The 16,455-nt window shown below is 39.1% G+C and overlaps 1 protein-coding gene and 1 long non-coding RNA gene across 24 annotated transcripts in view; one reads left to right on the top strand and one right to left on the bottom strand.

The window, feature by feature from the left end:
* Positions 1 to 16,455, top strand: part of FAM13C (family with sequence similarity 13 member C) — a 117,053-nt gene that overhangs the window by 25,197 nt on the left and 75,401 nt on the right. For 18 of the 23 annotated variants that reach the window (XM_006717702.4, NM_001347845.1, XM_017015891.2 and 15 more), the window contains 1 exon segment: positions 13,879 to 13,997. In XM_006717702.4, the coding sequence (XP_006717765.1) occupies positions 13,879 to 13,997 (119 nt within the window). 23 annotated transcript variants of the gene reach the window in all.
* Positions 5,383 to 15,717, bottom strand: LOC102724778 (uncharacterized). The gene is made up of 2 exons (XR_428753.5): positions 15,592 to 15,717; positions 5,383 to 5,592 (listed from the first exon to the last, which is right to left on the bottom strand). It is a non-coding gene; the product is annotated as an uncharacterized LOC102724778 (long non-coding RNA).

Here is a 16,455-nt window from a genome sequence, read left to right as displayed (position 1 = left end):
GTTCAGGCTGGGCATGGTGTCTCACGCCTGTAATCCCAGCATTTTGGGAGGCTGAGGTGGGTGGATTACCTGAGGTCAGGAATTCGAGACCAGGCGGGCCAACATGGTGAAACTCTGTCTCCACTAAAAATACAAAAATTAGACAGGCATGGTGGCAGGTGCCTGTAATCCCAGCTACTCGGGAGGCCGAGGCAGGAGAATTGCTTGAACCCGGGAGGTGGAGGTTGCAATGAGCAGAGATCATACCATTGCACTCTAGCCTGGGTGACAAGAATGAAACTCTATCTCAAAAAAAAAAAAAAAAAAAAAAAAAAAAAGAAAAAGAAAAAAAAGAAAATGGAAAGTTCCTATCCTGTCTGGAAAAGACTGATTGTTCTGTGGCCACAGTGACAAGTGACCAGTAACCATCAGAATGTATTGTTTTGTACCTGTTTAACTGGGTCAATAACAACTTGCTCTGGCAATCATTTGTGCTTTTGTAAGCTAGCCAGTCAGTTGCTTCTGAAAGCTAGCCAACACCACACACAGTTGTAAAGCCAGACAATTGGCAACAGCTAAACTCTAGTGCACATGCCCAGGCAAGTCAGCCAGTCAGCAACATTCTCACTCCAGCTTTACTTCTGCAGCTAAAGGTCAACTAATGCCTAAACATTCCAGCTTCTGGAAGTCTGCCAGTGCCTGCACTCTAAGGGTCTCCAAGCCCTATAGAAGATCAGCTCTCTCTGCTTTGCTCAGGGAGAATGCCTCTGAAAATACAGTTCTTCCTTGCTAATTTAGCAAGCAGTGAATTCAGTTTTTTGTTCAGATATTGGGTAGAGACCTCTTTCTTCAATGATAGAATTACAAATAAAGTGCTAAAAGATCACAAAAAAGAGGGCTATATGGAAAAGTTCACACAAGAGATGATTTTTGGCTCAAGTAGTAAAATGGGAGTTATTTAAGTAGAGAAAATTCCAGGAGGAGGGAGGTTTTCTAAGCTGAGGGAACACACTGTGAGTGAAGACATGAGTGATAGTGGAACTCAAGAGCTGCCACCTAATTTGTCATCCGTGAACTGTAGGATGTGGAAAGGATGGGGTGATGGAAGATAGACAGGAAGTTTGTAGAGGCTGGATTGTAAGGGCCTTGGATTCCATCCTAATGAGTTTTCTTATTCTGGTGCTTTGCAAACGTTTTTCTATTTCTAAGTTCTAACAGCTGAGGAGACTGAACTTTTACCATAAGAGGGAGTTTCTTTGAAATCTCCCTATAGAAGATATTTGTCATTCTATTTTGGCTGCCAAGCATCTGAACTCTGTTCTTGCACTTGGAGAATTTCCCATTGGAGGGAGAAAAGCAGAATGCTTTGTTCACTATAAAAGCTGAAAAGGCCACTATTTGTTTTTCCAGCCTCCCTTTCAGCTAGGACATGGGCACAACTGGGGTGATACCAGTCAGAAGTACACACCCTAATCTTGGCTTGAGAGAAGAAGCCAAGAAGTCAGCTCTAGGAGTGGAAGTGAATGCAGCAAGAAATGAGATCTGAGCCGTGAGCAGTGGTCATAGTGGTGGTGCCCATTGTTGAGTGCATGGTGTGAACATTACACACTGCAGAATTGACCTCTTTTCATCCATCCTAAGATTCACATATTTCCAACACTTTAATATCACTGAAGTCAGGATGCTCCTTATAAACAATGCTGTATAGAAGCTGATAAGCAGCATTATGTTTTTCTTAAAAAATAAAAAACAATAATATTAGGGTCAGTGTCATTGAAGATTTAGAATGCAGAAGAGTCTGCATTAGGGTGGCAGAAGAGTCCATGTTGGATTATTTTTGAGCACAATTTTACTGTGCTCTTTGCCTAGTAGTCCCTTGTCTGGTTTTCCAACCATTTAAGTTATTCTGTAAGCTTCTTAATAAATTCATCCTTTGGTTAAGTTACTTAGAGTTTGTTTCTATTGTTTGAAGCTAAGAACCCTGACTGGTATATGCTTGTCATCTGAAGAAGTCATGAGCATGCTGTAGTTTATTAAAATATCTGCTTTGATTCAAAAAAGCTTTTCTCTCTAAATCATCACTTAAATTTGATGTCCCAGGATACTATGTCATGTTAATGATTTATGCTAATAACTCATTCAAAAATATTTATTGAGTCTCTGTATGTGAGATTACGGAGAATGAGTCCTATGAGAGAGTGGCCTTCATGGAGCTTTTATTGCATTGGGCTTACCTTCCCCTGCAGAGCATTCCTGCTATTCCTATCCCCTGTGGACTTGACCCCAGGTAAACAAACACAATGTAGGCCATAGAAAGCTGATAGACACTTGAACTTAGGGAAGTGATGTTACTGCATCTGTTGTTAGGGACTGGTCCTTTCTTCAGTTATTCTCAACATCATTCACCTGGTGAAATTTTGTCTGCCTCCAGGGATTTCCTGTATCTTGAAGCTGTATGGAAATTAGTTTGAGGAGTGGCGCTGGTAGGGGGTGGGGTAGCCTTTGGGTTAGAGACATGGGGTATCTATTGGCCAAGCTGCAAATGCCTTTGGGTTCAATGTTCTAGGTATTAAGCTTTTCCTTTATTCCAGATAATTGCTATGTATCAAATTAAAGACTTCCTCAAAGTGAATGGTGCTAAAATTAATATTTGGGTCTCGTAGGTCCTTAGGCTTTTCCCAAGTCCACATAAAAACTTGCCATGTGTTACCTTTACGTAGAATATTCAATTCAGTCTGAATGTATTGTCTGATCTTATTGCATAGAAGGAAGCATGCTTTCTAAAGGGAGATCACCTCTGGGGGAATATATTCTACTTGTGGCTGAAGAGTCTGATTAAAGACTTAGCAATAAACAGCCCTAATGACTGTTAGTTGGGAAATTAGACATAGAGGCTATTTGAGCAGCCTTTGATAAAATGAAAGTTGGCCACTGTAGAGTTTGTCCTGCTTTATGCTAACATTGTAGCTAGAGACCTTTTAAGAGGAGCTAATATTTTGCACCTTTGTGGAACCTCATTCCCCAAATCTAGCACCTTGGGTATTACTGAAGGTATACTGGAGTATTACTGTTTATCTAACATTAAAGTCTTTTTTAAATTATTATTATACTTTAAGTTTTAGGGTACATGTGCCCAACGTGCAGGTTAGTTACATATATATACATGTGCCATGTTGGTGTGCTGCACCTGTTAACTCGTCATTTAACATTAGGTATATCTCCTAATGCTATCCCTCCCCCCACCCCACAACAGGCCCCGGTGTGTGATGTTCCCCTTCCTGTGTCCATGTGTTCTCATTGTTCAATTCCCACCTATGAGTAAGAACATGCAGTGTTTGGTTTTTTTGTCCTTGCGATAGTTTGCTGAGAATGATGGTTTCCAGCTTCATCCATGTCCCTACAAAGGACATGAACTCATCCTTTTTTATGGCTGCACAGTATTCCATGGTGTATATGTGGCACGTTTTCTTAATCCAGTCTATCATTGTTGGACATTTGGCTTGGTTCCAAGTCTTTGCTATTATGAATAGTGCTGCAATAAACATACGTGTGCATGTGTCTTTATAGCAGCATGATTTATAATCCTTTGGGTATATACCCAGTAAGTTTTGACATATTTGAATTACCATTAACATGCAAGTGAGTCCTAGGCATTCACAAGATATCACTATTTTCAAAATGTCTATTCTCTTTAGATATCTTAGAATAATTTTCTTGTCAGGATTTGCTTTATTATAGTTGTTAATTTGTTTTTAGTTTGAGATAGCACCATACATAATATTCCATTTCCTCCTTATTTTTATCCCAGTTTTTAAAAGTTTCTTAAATTGGTTTGCATGAAGGTGAAATCCATGTCAGCATTTCTGGTTTCTGATACAATACTATTTTCCTTTCTCATTTCCCCTGCCATCTCTTGTCTCTCTCAAAAGAAAAAAAACAAAACAAAATACAGAACCATGCATTCATTGTAAGATGGGAGAGCTCTGATGCTTCCACAATGTCTTTAAAAGGGGAATGCTGGAATGACATGATTCTCCTTTGTTAACTGTTCCACATTTTGTCAGAACAGTTGGACTTGCTCTAAAATCCTCAATGACTAGTTCAGCAGAAGGAAAGGCAGAGACGTCCCTTGTTGATACAAGAATATAAGGAGAGCCTAGTGTTGAAAGCTGTGGCATTAGTGCAGCAGCTTTAGTAGCTGAAGTAATATTTGTGATGGTAAATTTGGATTTTTCTCATGACTGCTTTGGAAATAGAAAAATAATTTGATTCTTGCTAAACTAAATAAAACAAACAAGGGAGCTTGAGAAATGAAACACTGAGGGATATTTGAAAGCAAAGAATAACAGACATACTTTAATAATTTCAGAAAATAACATGGTAGAGATTCCGTATCAACAGGCTGTTTGCCTTCTCAGCCCCCAAAAAAGGAATAAAAGGTGGGCTTTTCCCAGGAAGGTAGTGCTGGCTTTTAAGTAAAAGGATTTTAAAACTTATTTTTATTTATTTAATTTTTTTGAGATGGAATCTTGCTCTGTCACCCAGGCTGGAGTGCAGTGGAGTGATTTTGGCTCACTGCAAACTCCCTCTCACAGGTTCAAGCAACTCTCCTGCCTCAGCCTCCTGAGTAGCTGGGACTACTGGCATGTGCCACCGTGCCCGGCTAATTTTTTGTATTTTTAGTAGAGACGGGGTTTCACCATGTTGGCCAGGCTGGTCTCAAACTCCTGAACTCAGGTGATCTGCATGCCTCGGCCTCTCAAAGTGCAAGTAAGAGGTATTTAAGGGATCTTAAACCTCAGCTCAGAGGGAGATGATTTAAAATATACATATTTTCTTAATTCATATTAAAATCACAGAAATTAAGCCTGGCATGGTAACGTATGCCTGTAGTCCCGGCTGTTTTGGAGGCTGAAGGAGGAGGATCACTTGTGCCCAGAAGTTGGAGAGTCCAGCCTAGGCAACATAGCAAGACCTTGTCTCTTACCAATAAATGAATAAATAAATAAATAAATAAATAAGTGACAACAATAACAAAATACTCCCCAGAAATTAGCATTTCCTATTTTTAATATCATAGTAACCCTTTGAAGCCAAAATAATTCACTTGCTTCTATACTAGACCTAACAGGCCATGTGGCTGAGAAGTGAGGACAGACTTGACAAAGGGGCTTTCTTGTCATACCTCTGCTCTGTGCATAGGAATAAGTTCTAGCAGAAAGGCTTAAGCTTGTGGTGCCATATTCATAGGTGCTGACTCACTGCTCCAGTTGTTCCATTTAACCATGATTTTTGATTGCTTGCTTTTGAAAATTGTATTCCCTTATTAAAGTTTAACACAAGTAGAACATAAGGAACAGAGGCACCTATTTTAAAGAACAAGACAGAAGTCATACTATTGAGTGTACTTTTACTAATATTTAATGTTTCTTTTATTGTCTTGCCCTGATTTTCCTTATGGAGTTAAAATTCTTTAGCATTTCATTGCATTATGAAACAAGTGGGTCAGGCAATGAGCTTCCTTCTTGAAGATTCCATGACAACCCACTCTGCATTTTCTTCCTATTTCTCTTTCTTGGTCTTCTCTGCAGTATCCTTTCCATCTGCCTGTCCCTTAAATGTTTTAAAATGAAATATTCTTATTTTAGATTATAAAAGCAACACATACTCATTAAACAATTCAAGCAATTAAGTAATGTATAAATTAACATATCCCACATAAAAAAACCATAACTGCACAGTAATAATACACACACACACACACATATATATACAAACATATTGATCTACCCCTCCACCTCTCTCTGTGGGTTCTTACTATATATACATTATTTTGCAGCTTGAGTTTTGATTTAACAATATACCATCAGTGCTGTAAATATTGGCATTCCTCAGGGTTTTCTCCCAAGTTTTCTCTTCCCTCTCTGCCTACTCTGAATTGTGTTACCTCACTTGTGGTTTTGGTCACCCTCCTGATCATTCTCAAATATGTATTGCCAGCCCTAGTCTGTCTCTAAGATTCCAGCTCCTCTATTTATCATTGCCTACTTAGATGCTGCATGGGTCCTTCATACCCAACTCTCCATGAACACTGTTTCTCTTCCTGTGTCCATCTCATGGAACAGCAATAGCTTTCACCACATTTTCCCACTTAGAGATTTGGCATCACCATCTGTCCTTCTTTTTCATTCAACCACATCCTGTCAATCACCAGGTCTATTTTTTCTATCTCTTTAATATCTTTTTAGCTAATTTGTTATTCTCCATACTGCCTACCACCTCTGTCATCCAAGTGACAGTCATCTCTTGCTTGGGATGCTCTACCTTTCTAACTATCCTTCCTTCTTTGATTCCTCCTCTTCACCTTCTAATCCATTTGCCACACAAGCCCAAGAAGATTTATTCCAGTGCAAATCTGAACATGCCTTACTTATAATATTCAGTGGCTTGCCATTGCCAATGGAATAAAGCCCAAACTCTTCAAGACTAGTAGGTCTTCATACTTAGAGGTTTCACATGATCTGGCTTCTGCCTGTCCCTCACCTACCTGGTTGTTCACCATCCCCACCTTTGACTCTCACTCTAAAAATAGTCACCCATCCGGAGTTCCTTGAACATTCCATGCTCTCACTTACACATGTTTGCCTTGATACATTCTGCCTCCGCCTCATGCTGTTTCCTCCAGTTGATGTTCATTTATCCTTTAGGCCACTTCAGTGATACTTCTCTCAAGAACTAGGCTTGGTGTCATTCCTATATGTTCTCAAAGCATCACACACTTTGTCCTTATCCTATTGTAGCATTGATCATACTATACTTCAATTGCCTGTTTATAGTTTGTGTCTTGCCACCTCTTCCATCCCCCACCACCATTGCCACTGCTAACTTGACTGTGAGCTCCCTGAGGGCAGGAACTAGGAAGAGCACAGAATGTAGCCCCTGATAGGGACCAAATATTTGAATGATGAATGTATGTCATCAGAAAACCAAGAATCCCATAAAGCTGCAGAGATGACCAGTTTGTGAATCCTAGGAGTTACAGTGGTCAAGTCTAGGACATCTCATTAGCTGTGAGGGATCAGGCTGGTTCTAAGGTCAGGGTAGGTGTATTTCGGGGCTCAGGCATGGTAGTTACAGATACTAGTGCTATGAGGGAGTGAAGCAATGTGATCATAATCAGAAACTATTTGCCTTTTGCTTTCCTTCATGCTTTTTGCTGTTTGGAGCCTTCTGTAGTCTTAGCAATGTGTTGCAATTGGAGAGTTGGAGACCTGTGCAAGGCCTAACTCCTCAGTGGGGCAGGAGAAATGCAAGGATTCCTAGAGAGGGGTAGCTAGATTTTGGTTAGCTGATTGTCAAAATACTCAAGGCAGCTATCTTACATCTCACAACTGGTAAATCCTGCCTCCCTGCCTCCAATCTCTAGCTCATTAGAGAGAAGACTAGGTTTTTATGAATCTCCCTCACTTCAGAGTCCCTGAGTCCTTTAACCCACATGCTAGAGAGGAGAAAAAACAAATACTAGTGAAAACTCGCATGCCTCATGACTCTCTTTTTTACTCTTGTGTATACTCCATTGATTTTACATTTGAATACCACCCACCCCAGCTGTTACATTTTAACTGTGACTGTATTCACATTGACTTGCATGGGATATTTCTCAGTTCTATAGTAAATGTGGGTGGTTAGAATATATAATGGAAAGAACTCTGGGTTTGGGTTTAGGAGACTGGAGTTAGGAACTGGGTGCTCTAGCTCAGTCATGTGATCTGGTGTGGTCCTATTTTATACAATTTTTAATTAAGTATTGAATATAAAGTATTAAATCACTTTTAAGGCAAACAACTCGAATTAATGCAATTCCTCCCAAATCGATCAAGAACTGTATATCAAAGCTGTTTGGGCCTATTGAATTATAAGCTGTATTGATTTTATTCAAATATTTCCACACTAGCTGGTGAATGGAAATACTCAATATCCGCTGTCATGAGAATAGTCTTAAAATACACAAATGTCAGTCAGACTCTGCAAGGTCTTCAGAAAGGCACCTCATGTATAAAAGGCAATCTTTCTGGCCTCAGTAAGTCATCTGCCTTTTCTTCACTTCATTTTTCTCACTGGGGAAAACTGGGGGACTAAAACCTACCTCCTAGTAAATGAGAAAATGTACATAGAAGGTGCCTAGTTTAGTACCTGCTACAGAGCAAGCGCTCAGTGAATGTTATTAGATTTGGAAAATATATATGATATGATAGACAGCATAATTGAATGTCTGTTTTCTACTAGAAAGTCTTACAACAAAGCAGTAAACTGGGTAATACATATTACAGCTTAAAAAAATAGAATCAGTCCAGGCGCAGTTGCTTACGACTGTAATCTCAGCATTTTGGGGGCCAAGGCAGGTGGATCACCTGAGGTCAGGAGTTCCAGACCAGACTGGCCAACCTGGTGAAAATTCATCTCTACTAAAAATACAAAAATTAGCTGGGCATGGTGGTGGGACCTGTAATCCCAGCTATTCAGGAGGCTGAGGCAGGAGAATCGCTTGAACCTGGGACGCAGAATTTGCAGTGAGTCGAGATCGTATCATTGCGCTCCAGCCTGAGTGACAGAGCAAGATTCTGTCTCAAAAAAAAAAAAAAAAAAAAAAAAAAAAAAAAAAACCAGAAAGAAAGAAAAAAAGAAAAAAAAATGGAATCAGAGGACATCCTACTTCATGGATATATGTGGATTTTGAGCCTATGCCTGCGTTTTCCCATGATTTATTTTATTTCTTTGTTGAAATAATGAGTAAGATGGCCAGAAATGTTTTAAAAATAGATCTGAAGAAACTGCTCTCTTGGTTCCCTATTTCTTAAAGGGCCAGAAAATTTTAAATAATAGACACACATTTTTGAAAGGAAATTTAAATCAACTCGTACAGGACGCTCTTTACCCTAGTTACGACATGAATGTAATAGTCCAATAGCTTCTTTTATCCGGGTATAAACATCTTTAAAGTTCCCCAATTATTCAGAAGGACATCAAGTCACTTTCACAGATATGTGAAGGTTAAGAAAAAAGGGACTCTTGGGTGATGTAGGATAGGGTAGATTTACAACACTTTCTCTTGTTCACCTTAAGAACTGAAAATATAAGATTTTCCAAATTATAGTGCTATCAGATATATTAATCATGTCTTAATTAGAGATTTTGGGAAATACTCTCATAAATGCAAGGCATTAACAATAGAGTGATTAAGCTACAGAACCATTTAATTTAAAATTTAATCCAGTAGTTGAAGAAAATAAAGTTTTATCAATTTGGGGAGAGTGGACACAGAGAAAACCTCAAGTATGAGAAGATGAACATTTGATGTTTTGATTGACCACATCCTGGAGGGAAGATATACAGGATGTGTACATCCTTGAGGCCCAAAGATACATTTCTGACTTTCAGACAGAGAAGATGGGCAAGATCTGGGATTAGAATGGTGGGATTAGAATGGAATATTGTTTTGTTTTGTTTTGTTTTGTTTTTCTTGATGGCCATGGATTTGTACAAATAAAGGAACTTGGAAGGGCCTGAAGCAATGGCCATGCCATTTGATCAAAACTAGATGATCTCAAGTGCTACAAGAGTCAGCTGAACTCACTAAAATTGCAATGAGAACAAAATATCATATTTCACCATTCTGGTTTAGGGGCAGCTAATTTTTCCTTAACTAAGTTTGAGTTTTGAGCCTCTTGAGTTAATAGCTTTCCTTTTGTTATCATGCACACTCTCCTAGCCTCTGTACCTGGATGAGATAAATAGCCTAAATTATGTTTGCTTCATGGACAGCTTTCTTATGAACTATCTCAGAATGTAGTAAATTTGATGGTCCCTGCATTTGGCAGAGAACCAACAAATCACCCCACTGAGGTGGACTTGGGACATACTAGGGGTGAGGTGGAGGGTAGATGAAGATGGCTGGGAACAGGAAAAGATGTGGGATGCCTTTTCTTCCAGGTGCCCATCTGGGCTACGCTTGGCCAGGTGGCAGAAAGACCAAGCATGGAGCAGAGGATTTTGGCTTCTTCCCTCAGTCCCCTTGGTCAGTTTGGATCTGACCATTTGACAGACACATTAACACAGAAGTAAAAAGTTAGAATCTGCTCTCTTACCCTTCAGTCTGTGTCAAACAGTAGATTTTAAAGTTCTTTGGGGGCAAGAATGTCTTATTCACTTCTCTATAACCCTCTCAACTATAAAAGTGCTTGGTATATAATAGTGGGGTTTTTTTAGGTAAAAATATATCTTATTTATTTCAGAATACATACCCTACTTTAATGTTCTACAATTTTTGAGCCGAATGTTACAGCCGATTCTAAACAGAGTGATGAAGCTTAAATGGGCAAAGGTAATCAAATGTGTTATTTATTTCCTTTCTTGATGTTGTCACCTTTTTTGGTGGGGGGGTGGGGACAAAATGTTAACTCTCAATCTTTCACAAATATGTTATTTACTCTAAGGACTTTCTTTGGCAGCCCTAGTTAACCTTCACCAGGTGGTGGAGTCCAACTGGAGCAGAGAAATGGGCTTACCAAGGAAGTAAGCCTTGGCTTCTCATGCATCTGGCTAAATCTCTTATAGAGGCAAATACATTTGATTGAGTACTACTATTCTTGTTTTGTACTCTTTCCTTTATAACTTTATGAATAAATGACAGCTGGCAGCACAAGACCTTTGAAAGCTACTGTTCTATTAATTCAATAAGATGATATCCCCATTTCTTCTGTCTTCTTTCTTTAAGAGAAAACATGAAATTATTTTTTAAAGCTGGTCAACTAAGGCTTGGGTTTTCCTCCCCTATTCCCTGTAAGGTACTTGGGTCGGGACGTCTTGTGTTGTTACATGCCAGGCTGTCCTGGGCATGCTCTGTCGTTCCTTAATGCCAATGCACACATCTGTTCAAAATTTCACCTTTCTCATTTTTGAACGTTTCTTAAAATTGATGGATGCATTTAATGTGGCATTATTTTTTTCCTAAAAGACTTATGTAATCAAACCAATGATGGTTTATAATTGATGATATCTTAGAATACAGGAAAGGTAATGTGTTTTAGTTATCTATTGTTGCATAACAAATAACCACAAAACTTAAAATTGCAATAATCATATATTATCTTTCATGGTTTCTGAGGGTCAGGAACTCACCTAGGGCAGACTAGAGAGGTCTGTGTCTGCTTCAGGCTGTCTGGGGTATCAGCTAGAAGACTTAAAGCCTAGAAATTAGAAGCATCTGAAGGCTCATTGATTCCCATGTGAGCTTTGCTGGGGCTATTTGCCCATAGGTGATCCTTCCATAAGGAGATAATGGAGTGGAAGGAACTAAACTAAAAATCTTTATTCCTTTTCTTATGAGTGAAATATTTTCCAAGATCATAAGGATCTCTGGAAGGAAGAATAAACTCGGTGTTTTCTAAGAAAGGCTGTACTTGGGTTTCTGATCTGAGGGGGGCTTATAGATCAGAACTTTCATGATCTAACTTTTGGCATTGGGAAGGGCAGCCTGTCATGACAATCACACATACCTATCACATCAGAGCCTGTTCCATTCATCAGTATTCAGGATGATTTGTACCAGACTCCTTACTTAGTCTTCCCCAATTCTCCATACCATCTTGAGGTTTGAAATTCTTGGTGGGGAAAAGAAACATAGGTGACAGTGCCACTCTTTTCCCCATTTGAATCAGGGACTTGATAGTCAGCTGTGTCCAAATACTCCTTATCTTCCCATTTTAGAGAAGAGTTCTTCTCTTGCAGTCCTTTGAGATCTCTGATCTAAGCATATTAAGGAGGCACTTTCTCTAAAGTTCTTGTTATTCATATCTAAGATACATCCTAGGGCCAAGGGAATCCAACAGTGTTTGGCCTCTCTAACCCTTCTCAACTTTTGAAGATTCAAAGAGTTAGATAAAATACTATTTTCAAAAAAAAAATCAAACAGTACTCTTTCCTAAAAGGATAAGGTTTTAATAAAATGGGCATTTTTGATTTAAACCTTTTAGAGTTCAGAGGGGCCATTTCTTAATGCCTACATATATTGAGGCTTCTAAATATAATATTTAAAATAATATTGCTATTAGTATAGAAATGTGAAATAAGCATTCCACCACAAAAATAAGTTTTCTTTTGCTGAACTCATTTGGGTTAATTCTGCAAGGATTAACTGAGCACTAGGTTCAGAATATTGAGCTTTAAGAAAATTTTTATAAAAGCAATATTGTTATCAGTAGTAGTTCATATCTGCTGTGTGCCTCCAATTGGCAGGCACTTGTGGAATTGATGGTATTATTCTCATTTTACAGAAAAGGAAACTGAGCCCAGATAACTTATGTAATTTGGCCAAGGTCATACACTGAGCAAGTAGCAAGCAGAATTCTGTCTCACGTGAAAACCATTGTGTGAGAGAGTTTGACCAGTATTTTGGTAGCTGTAGAATTTTTCTCAAGCAACTACGAAGTCTAGGGGACTAGTGCATACTAATGGAAACTTTTCATGTGGAGTGTCTTCTTATCTGAAGCTGGAGGCTTCAAAGAATTAAAGAGAGGATCTTGATAGGGCTAATTATTTTCTTTCCCACAGCTCTGCCCAGCTGTTCCCATTTTACCCCTTTTGTATGAAGGCATTCATATGATTTTGTTGTAGAGGCTTGTGATGATGACTTCTTGGCAAAAAGCCTCACCATGTTTTTCTAGTGTGCTGGAAACATGATTTCTAAGACACCTGACACATTGACACTTGTACTGACTTCAACCCACACCCTTAATAGAGGAGCTGGGTCTCTATTGTGACCATAATATATTGCAGCAGAAGACCCAAATTCACTGCATTGCTTGAATAATTTGCCTGTATGATGGTAGCCACCTGGAGCTACTGAATTTCTCGCAGATTTTTGTTTTAGTATCTCATTTATTAGGTTAAAGAAGGGCTATTTTATTCTAAAGAAAGTTTTTCAATTAGAGGTTTGACATGGCTCAAAGATGATAGTAGTGGAACTGTTGGATATATATAAATCTTTTATTTTTGCTATGTATGCATGTCTTTGTGTTGAATCCAGATTAGTTTTAGTTTTGGTGTGTTTATTGTGTTTATTCTGTAGAGTGTTTAGCACTCTGGAGTTTTTCTAAGTTAATGAGCAATTGCATCATGGATAACCCACATTGTGGTTTCTTTAGATGCAATGTGGCCAATGGCAATAGTGTGTGTGTATGAGGGGGTGGTGGCAGGATGAGGGGAGAGATATCAAGGACTCTTGAGATCTGGAATTCATAAAAATGATTTGTTCTTTAGTTTTTAGATGAACTTAAATTTTTCTTTTATTATAGAAATAATGTTTATTGTAGAAAACTTAGAAAATATATATGGGCTCCCAAAAATAAATAAACATGATGTCTCAGAATTAGTCACAGTTAAGATTTTGGTTCAACTTATTCCAATCTCATGTGTGTGGGGTGTGTGTGTGTGTGTGTGAGTATGTGTGAACATTCATACATATGTTTATTCTTGCATAAATAAGCCTATAGTATAAATATTCTTCTATGAATTATCTTTTCAGATGTATCTATTCATCCAATATTCTTCCATGACATCATTTTTAATGTCTGTAAAATTCTTGTTATATGGCTATACCATATCTTTTGGACATAAGATTTATTATTATGATTTTTGTCTTTATTCTGTAATCTTGCAGCAACTGACTGATAGAAGCTTTTAAAATTTTGGACCAGTGAATTGGCTCCCTTCCCACACTACAATCAGCAGAATGTGTTATGCATTGCTGCTTCCCTGCCCCGAGACCCACTTCCAGCATAATAATGCTATGGAACTGATTGCTGTTGACAGCTCATCTACTTTTGCTCTTTCTTCTTGCAGGAGACAGAGCATGTGGTATCCAGCCAGTCAGAGTGTCAGGTGAGAGCAGGAACACCAGCTCATGAGAGTCCACAAAACAATGCCTTCAAGTGCCAAGAAACAGTGCGACTTCAACCAAGGTGGGCCCTTTGTTATCAGAAGCTATTCTGTGCTTGTGGTTCCTTTCTCAGAAATGCTGTGTGCTTGCCACTCCCACACAAGAGGCAAGGCTTTCTGACTTTTGCTGGCATTCCTTATAGTCAGAAAAGCTGCTTAAAGGGGCCTAGAAGAGGAATCGCTGAGTGAGTTTAAGATAAATGTAAATGACCTACTTTCTCTGTCTTCCATTTGAAAATAATCTACCTTAAGGCTCAGGGGGAAGTGGAGACAGGTCCTGCCCTTGGAGAGGAATGCTGATTTCATCTATTCTTATTCTTTATTCTATGCTAGAGGGAATTAGATTTTCCTTTGTGATAGTGATAAATTTGTGATGACCATGTAGGCACCATAGCAACTGATTTTTACGTAGTCTCTCATTTAGCCTTCTCTACTTTCTCGTAAAGCTGTGTACTCATAGTCTGAAACATATTAAGGCACTTGCCTGATGTTGCACAAGTGAAAAGGACTGAGCCAGAATTTGAACCCACAAATGTCTGATTGCAGCATGGCAGGTGCAGATTCTGTGCTGACCCGAGTGTCTTCCAGTGACCTTAGCCCTGACATAGCCCCAGGATGGCCTCTCTAGCCTGCTAGACCTGCTGGAGACAGCCCTGGATCCAGGGCAAGGATGTGGGTGGAAAGCAGCCTGCAGAAAGGTTGGCATGACATTCTGATGGGAGCCTGGCATTGCAGCTGTCTATGGAAAGTCTCTTCTGGAAATAAACAGAAGAAAGAATTCAACCGCTAGTTGTGTCAGCTGTCTTTGTAGGATCTTGTGTACAGTGTAATCATAGCCCTCACTCAGTGGAAAGGGAGGGCTGTGCTTCTGAGCCTGACCTTTAGAATTGTTTTTCTAAGGCAGCACAGTCTAAATCAACAACTACAGAGAAGATTGGCTGTGCTATGCAGTTGTACTTTTAAATATCCAATGTACTAAATTTAGAATAATAGAACCTCAAAAGGTTGGAGGGGACCTCAAAGGTAAGGTGCTTCCCTATCCAGGCAGATTCATGGGCACCTTTTATAACCCTCTTCACAAGCTGACTTCTTTTATGTGTTTACTCTTACCTGACCTCAGGTAATACCTGTTGGATTCAGCCTTGTAATTTCTCCAGTAATCAGGACATTCTCCCTCCTCTTTGAGGTATTATTGTAAGAAAGCTATTTTTTGGCTACTGGAATCAATTTAGTCAGTGGCCCACCAGCCTGATGACTGTCTCTCTCAGAAAGAAGAAAGTCAACTATTATTCCCATGCATATTTCAAAATAATATAAAAGCAAAACAAAACAAATAAAAACCAAAAAAAAGTCATTCATGCTTGTGTATGGAATGTATGGTGGTCCTGTAGGGGTAGATATTTAACAGAGACCAACAGGGGAAAATGGCGTTAGCAATTAACCTTCTCAAAGATGCTTGATGTTCAGTAAACTTAAAACCATTGTGTATCCCATTTTGTATTTCTCTTCCTCTGCCTCTTAGCAAACCTTCATAGGATCCTAAATACCTTGTTGTCTTTTTCGCCTCCCCATCTCCCATCTTTCATGTCCCACTTTCACAGAATTGAGCTTTCTGACCTAGCAACATTCCAGACTGTTCTGTGCACCGCTGTCAGCAATCGCAGGATCTGGTGATAAGTCACATATCAGGAGTGCTGTGAGGGCAGTTATGTCTAGTACTCTTAGTTAAGTAACCTTTAAACTACAGTTATTTATCACAACCATGGTGACATCACCAAGGGACATTCTAATGGAACTTTAAAAAAATCCATCTCAAAATATTACAGGGATTGTGAAATTTGATGAACTAGTGAAATGAGATCCGAGGCTAAAAACAACTTTGAATCAGGTAGCTCACATTCCTGATAACCTTCCTCTTCTGTTTTAAGCAGGCGTCTGGCCAGGTTTGGACATATCATGCCAAATAGAATCTTGATAGAGACATGATACTGTAATGGGACACTCCAGACCTAGGTCTGGTTCAGAGTGAAAGAATAAGCCAGGCTAAGTCTCAGCAGTTGTAAAATACCACCTTCTTTGGGGCAGTGGGCTGGGGAGAATGCTATTAATATAATGAACACTGTAAGAAAAGGAAGAAAGATCTCTCTGTAGCAAGAGGCCACCTTACTCCTTGGGGTCACACATCATTTTGGTGAGACTCGAAGGAGTAGTCAGTCTTCAGAAAATGAATCCATGTTTGTAGAGGTGAGATTTTGGAGCGGATTGAGGTCATGAGATGGGCATTGATCTTTTCACGAATGCCAAATAATTTCATACCTACAGCTCTCAGAGTCCTCATGTTGTATATTGGGCTCTTTTGAGCACAAGGAGCCTTTATGTATTTATGAGGATGAGACTCAGGAAGGTCTATGAATGTGTTTGCCCAAGTTTCTGTGTATATATACTCTATTATTGCTACTGTAATAACTGACCACAAACTTG

Source organism: Homo sapiens, chromosome 10 (assembly GCF_000001405.40).
Source record: "Homo sapiens chromosome 10, GRCh38.p14 Primary Assembly".
Taxonomy (NCBI): domain Eukaryota; kingdom Metazoa; phylum Chordata; class Mammalia; order Primates; family Hominidae; genus Homo; species Homo sapiens.
Note: the sequence above shows the minus strand (reverse complement) of the source record. Positions and strands in the feature narration are given on the sequence as shown.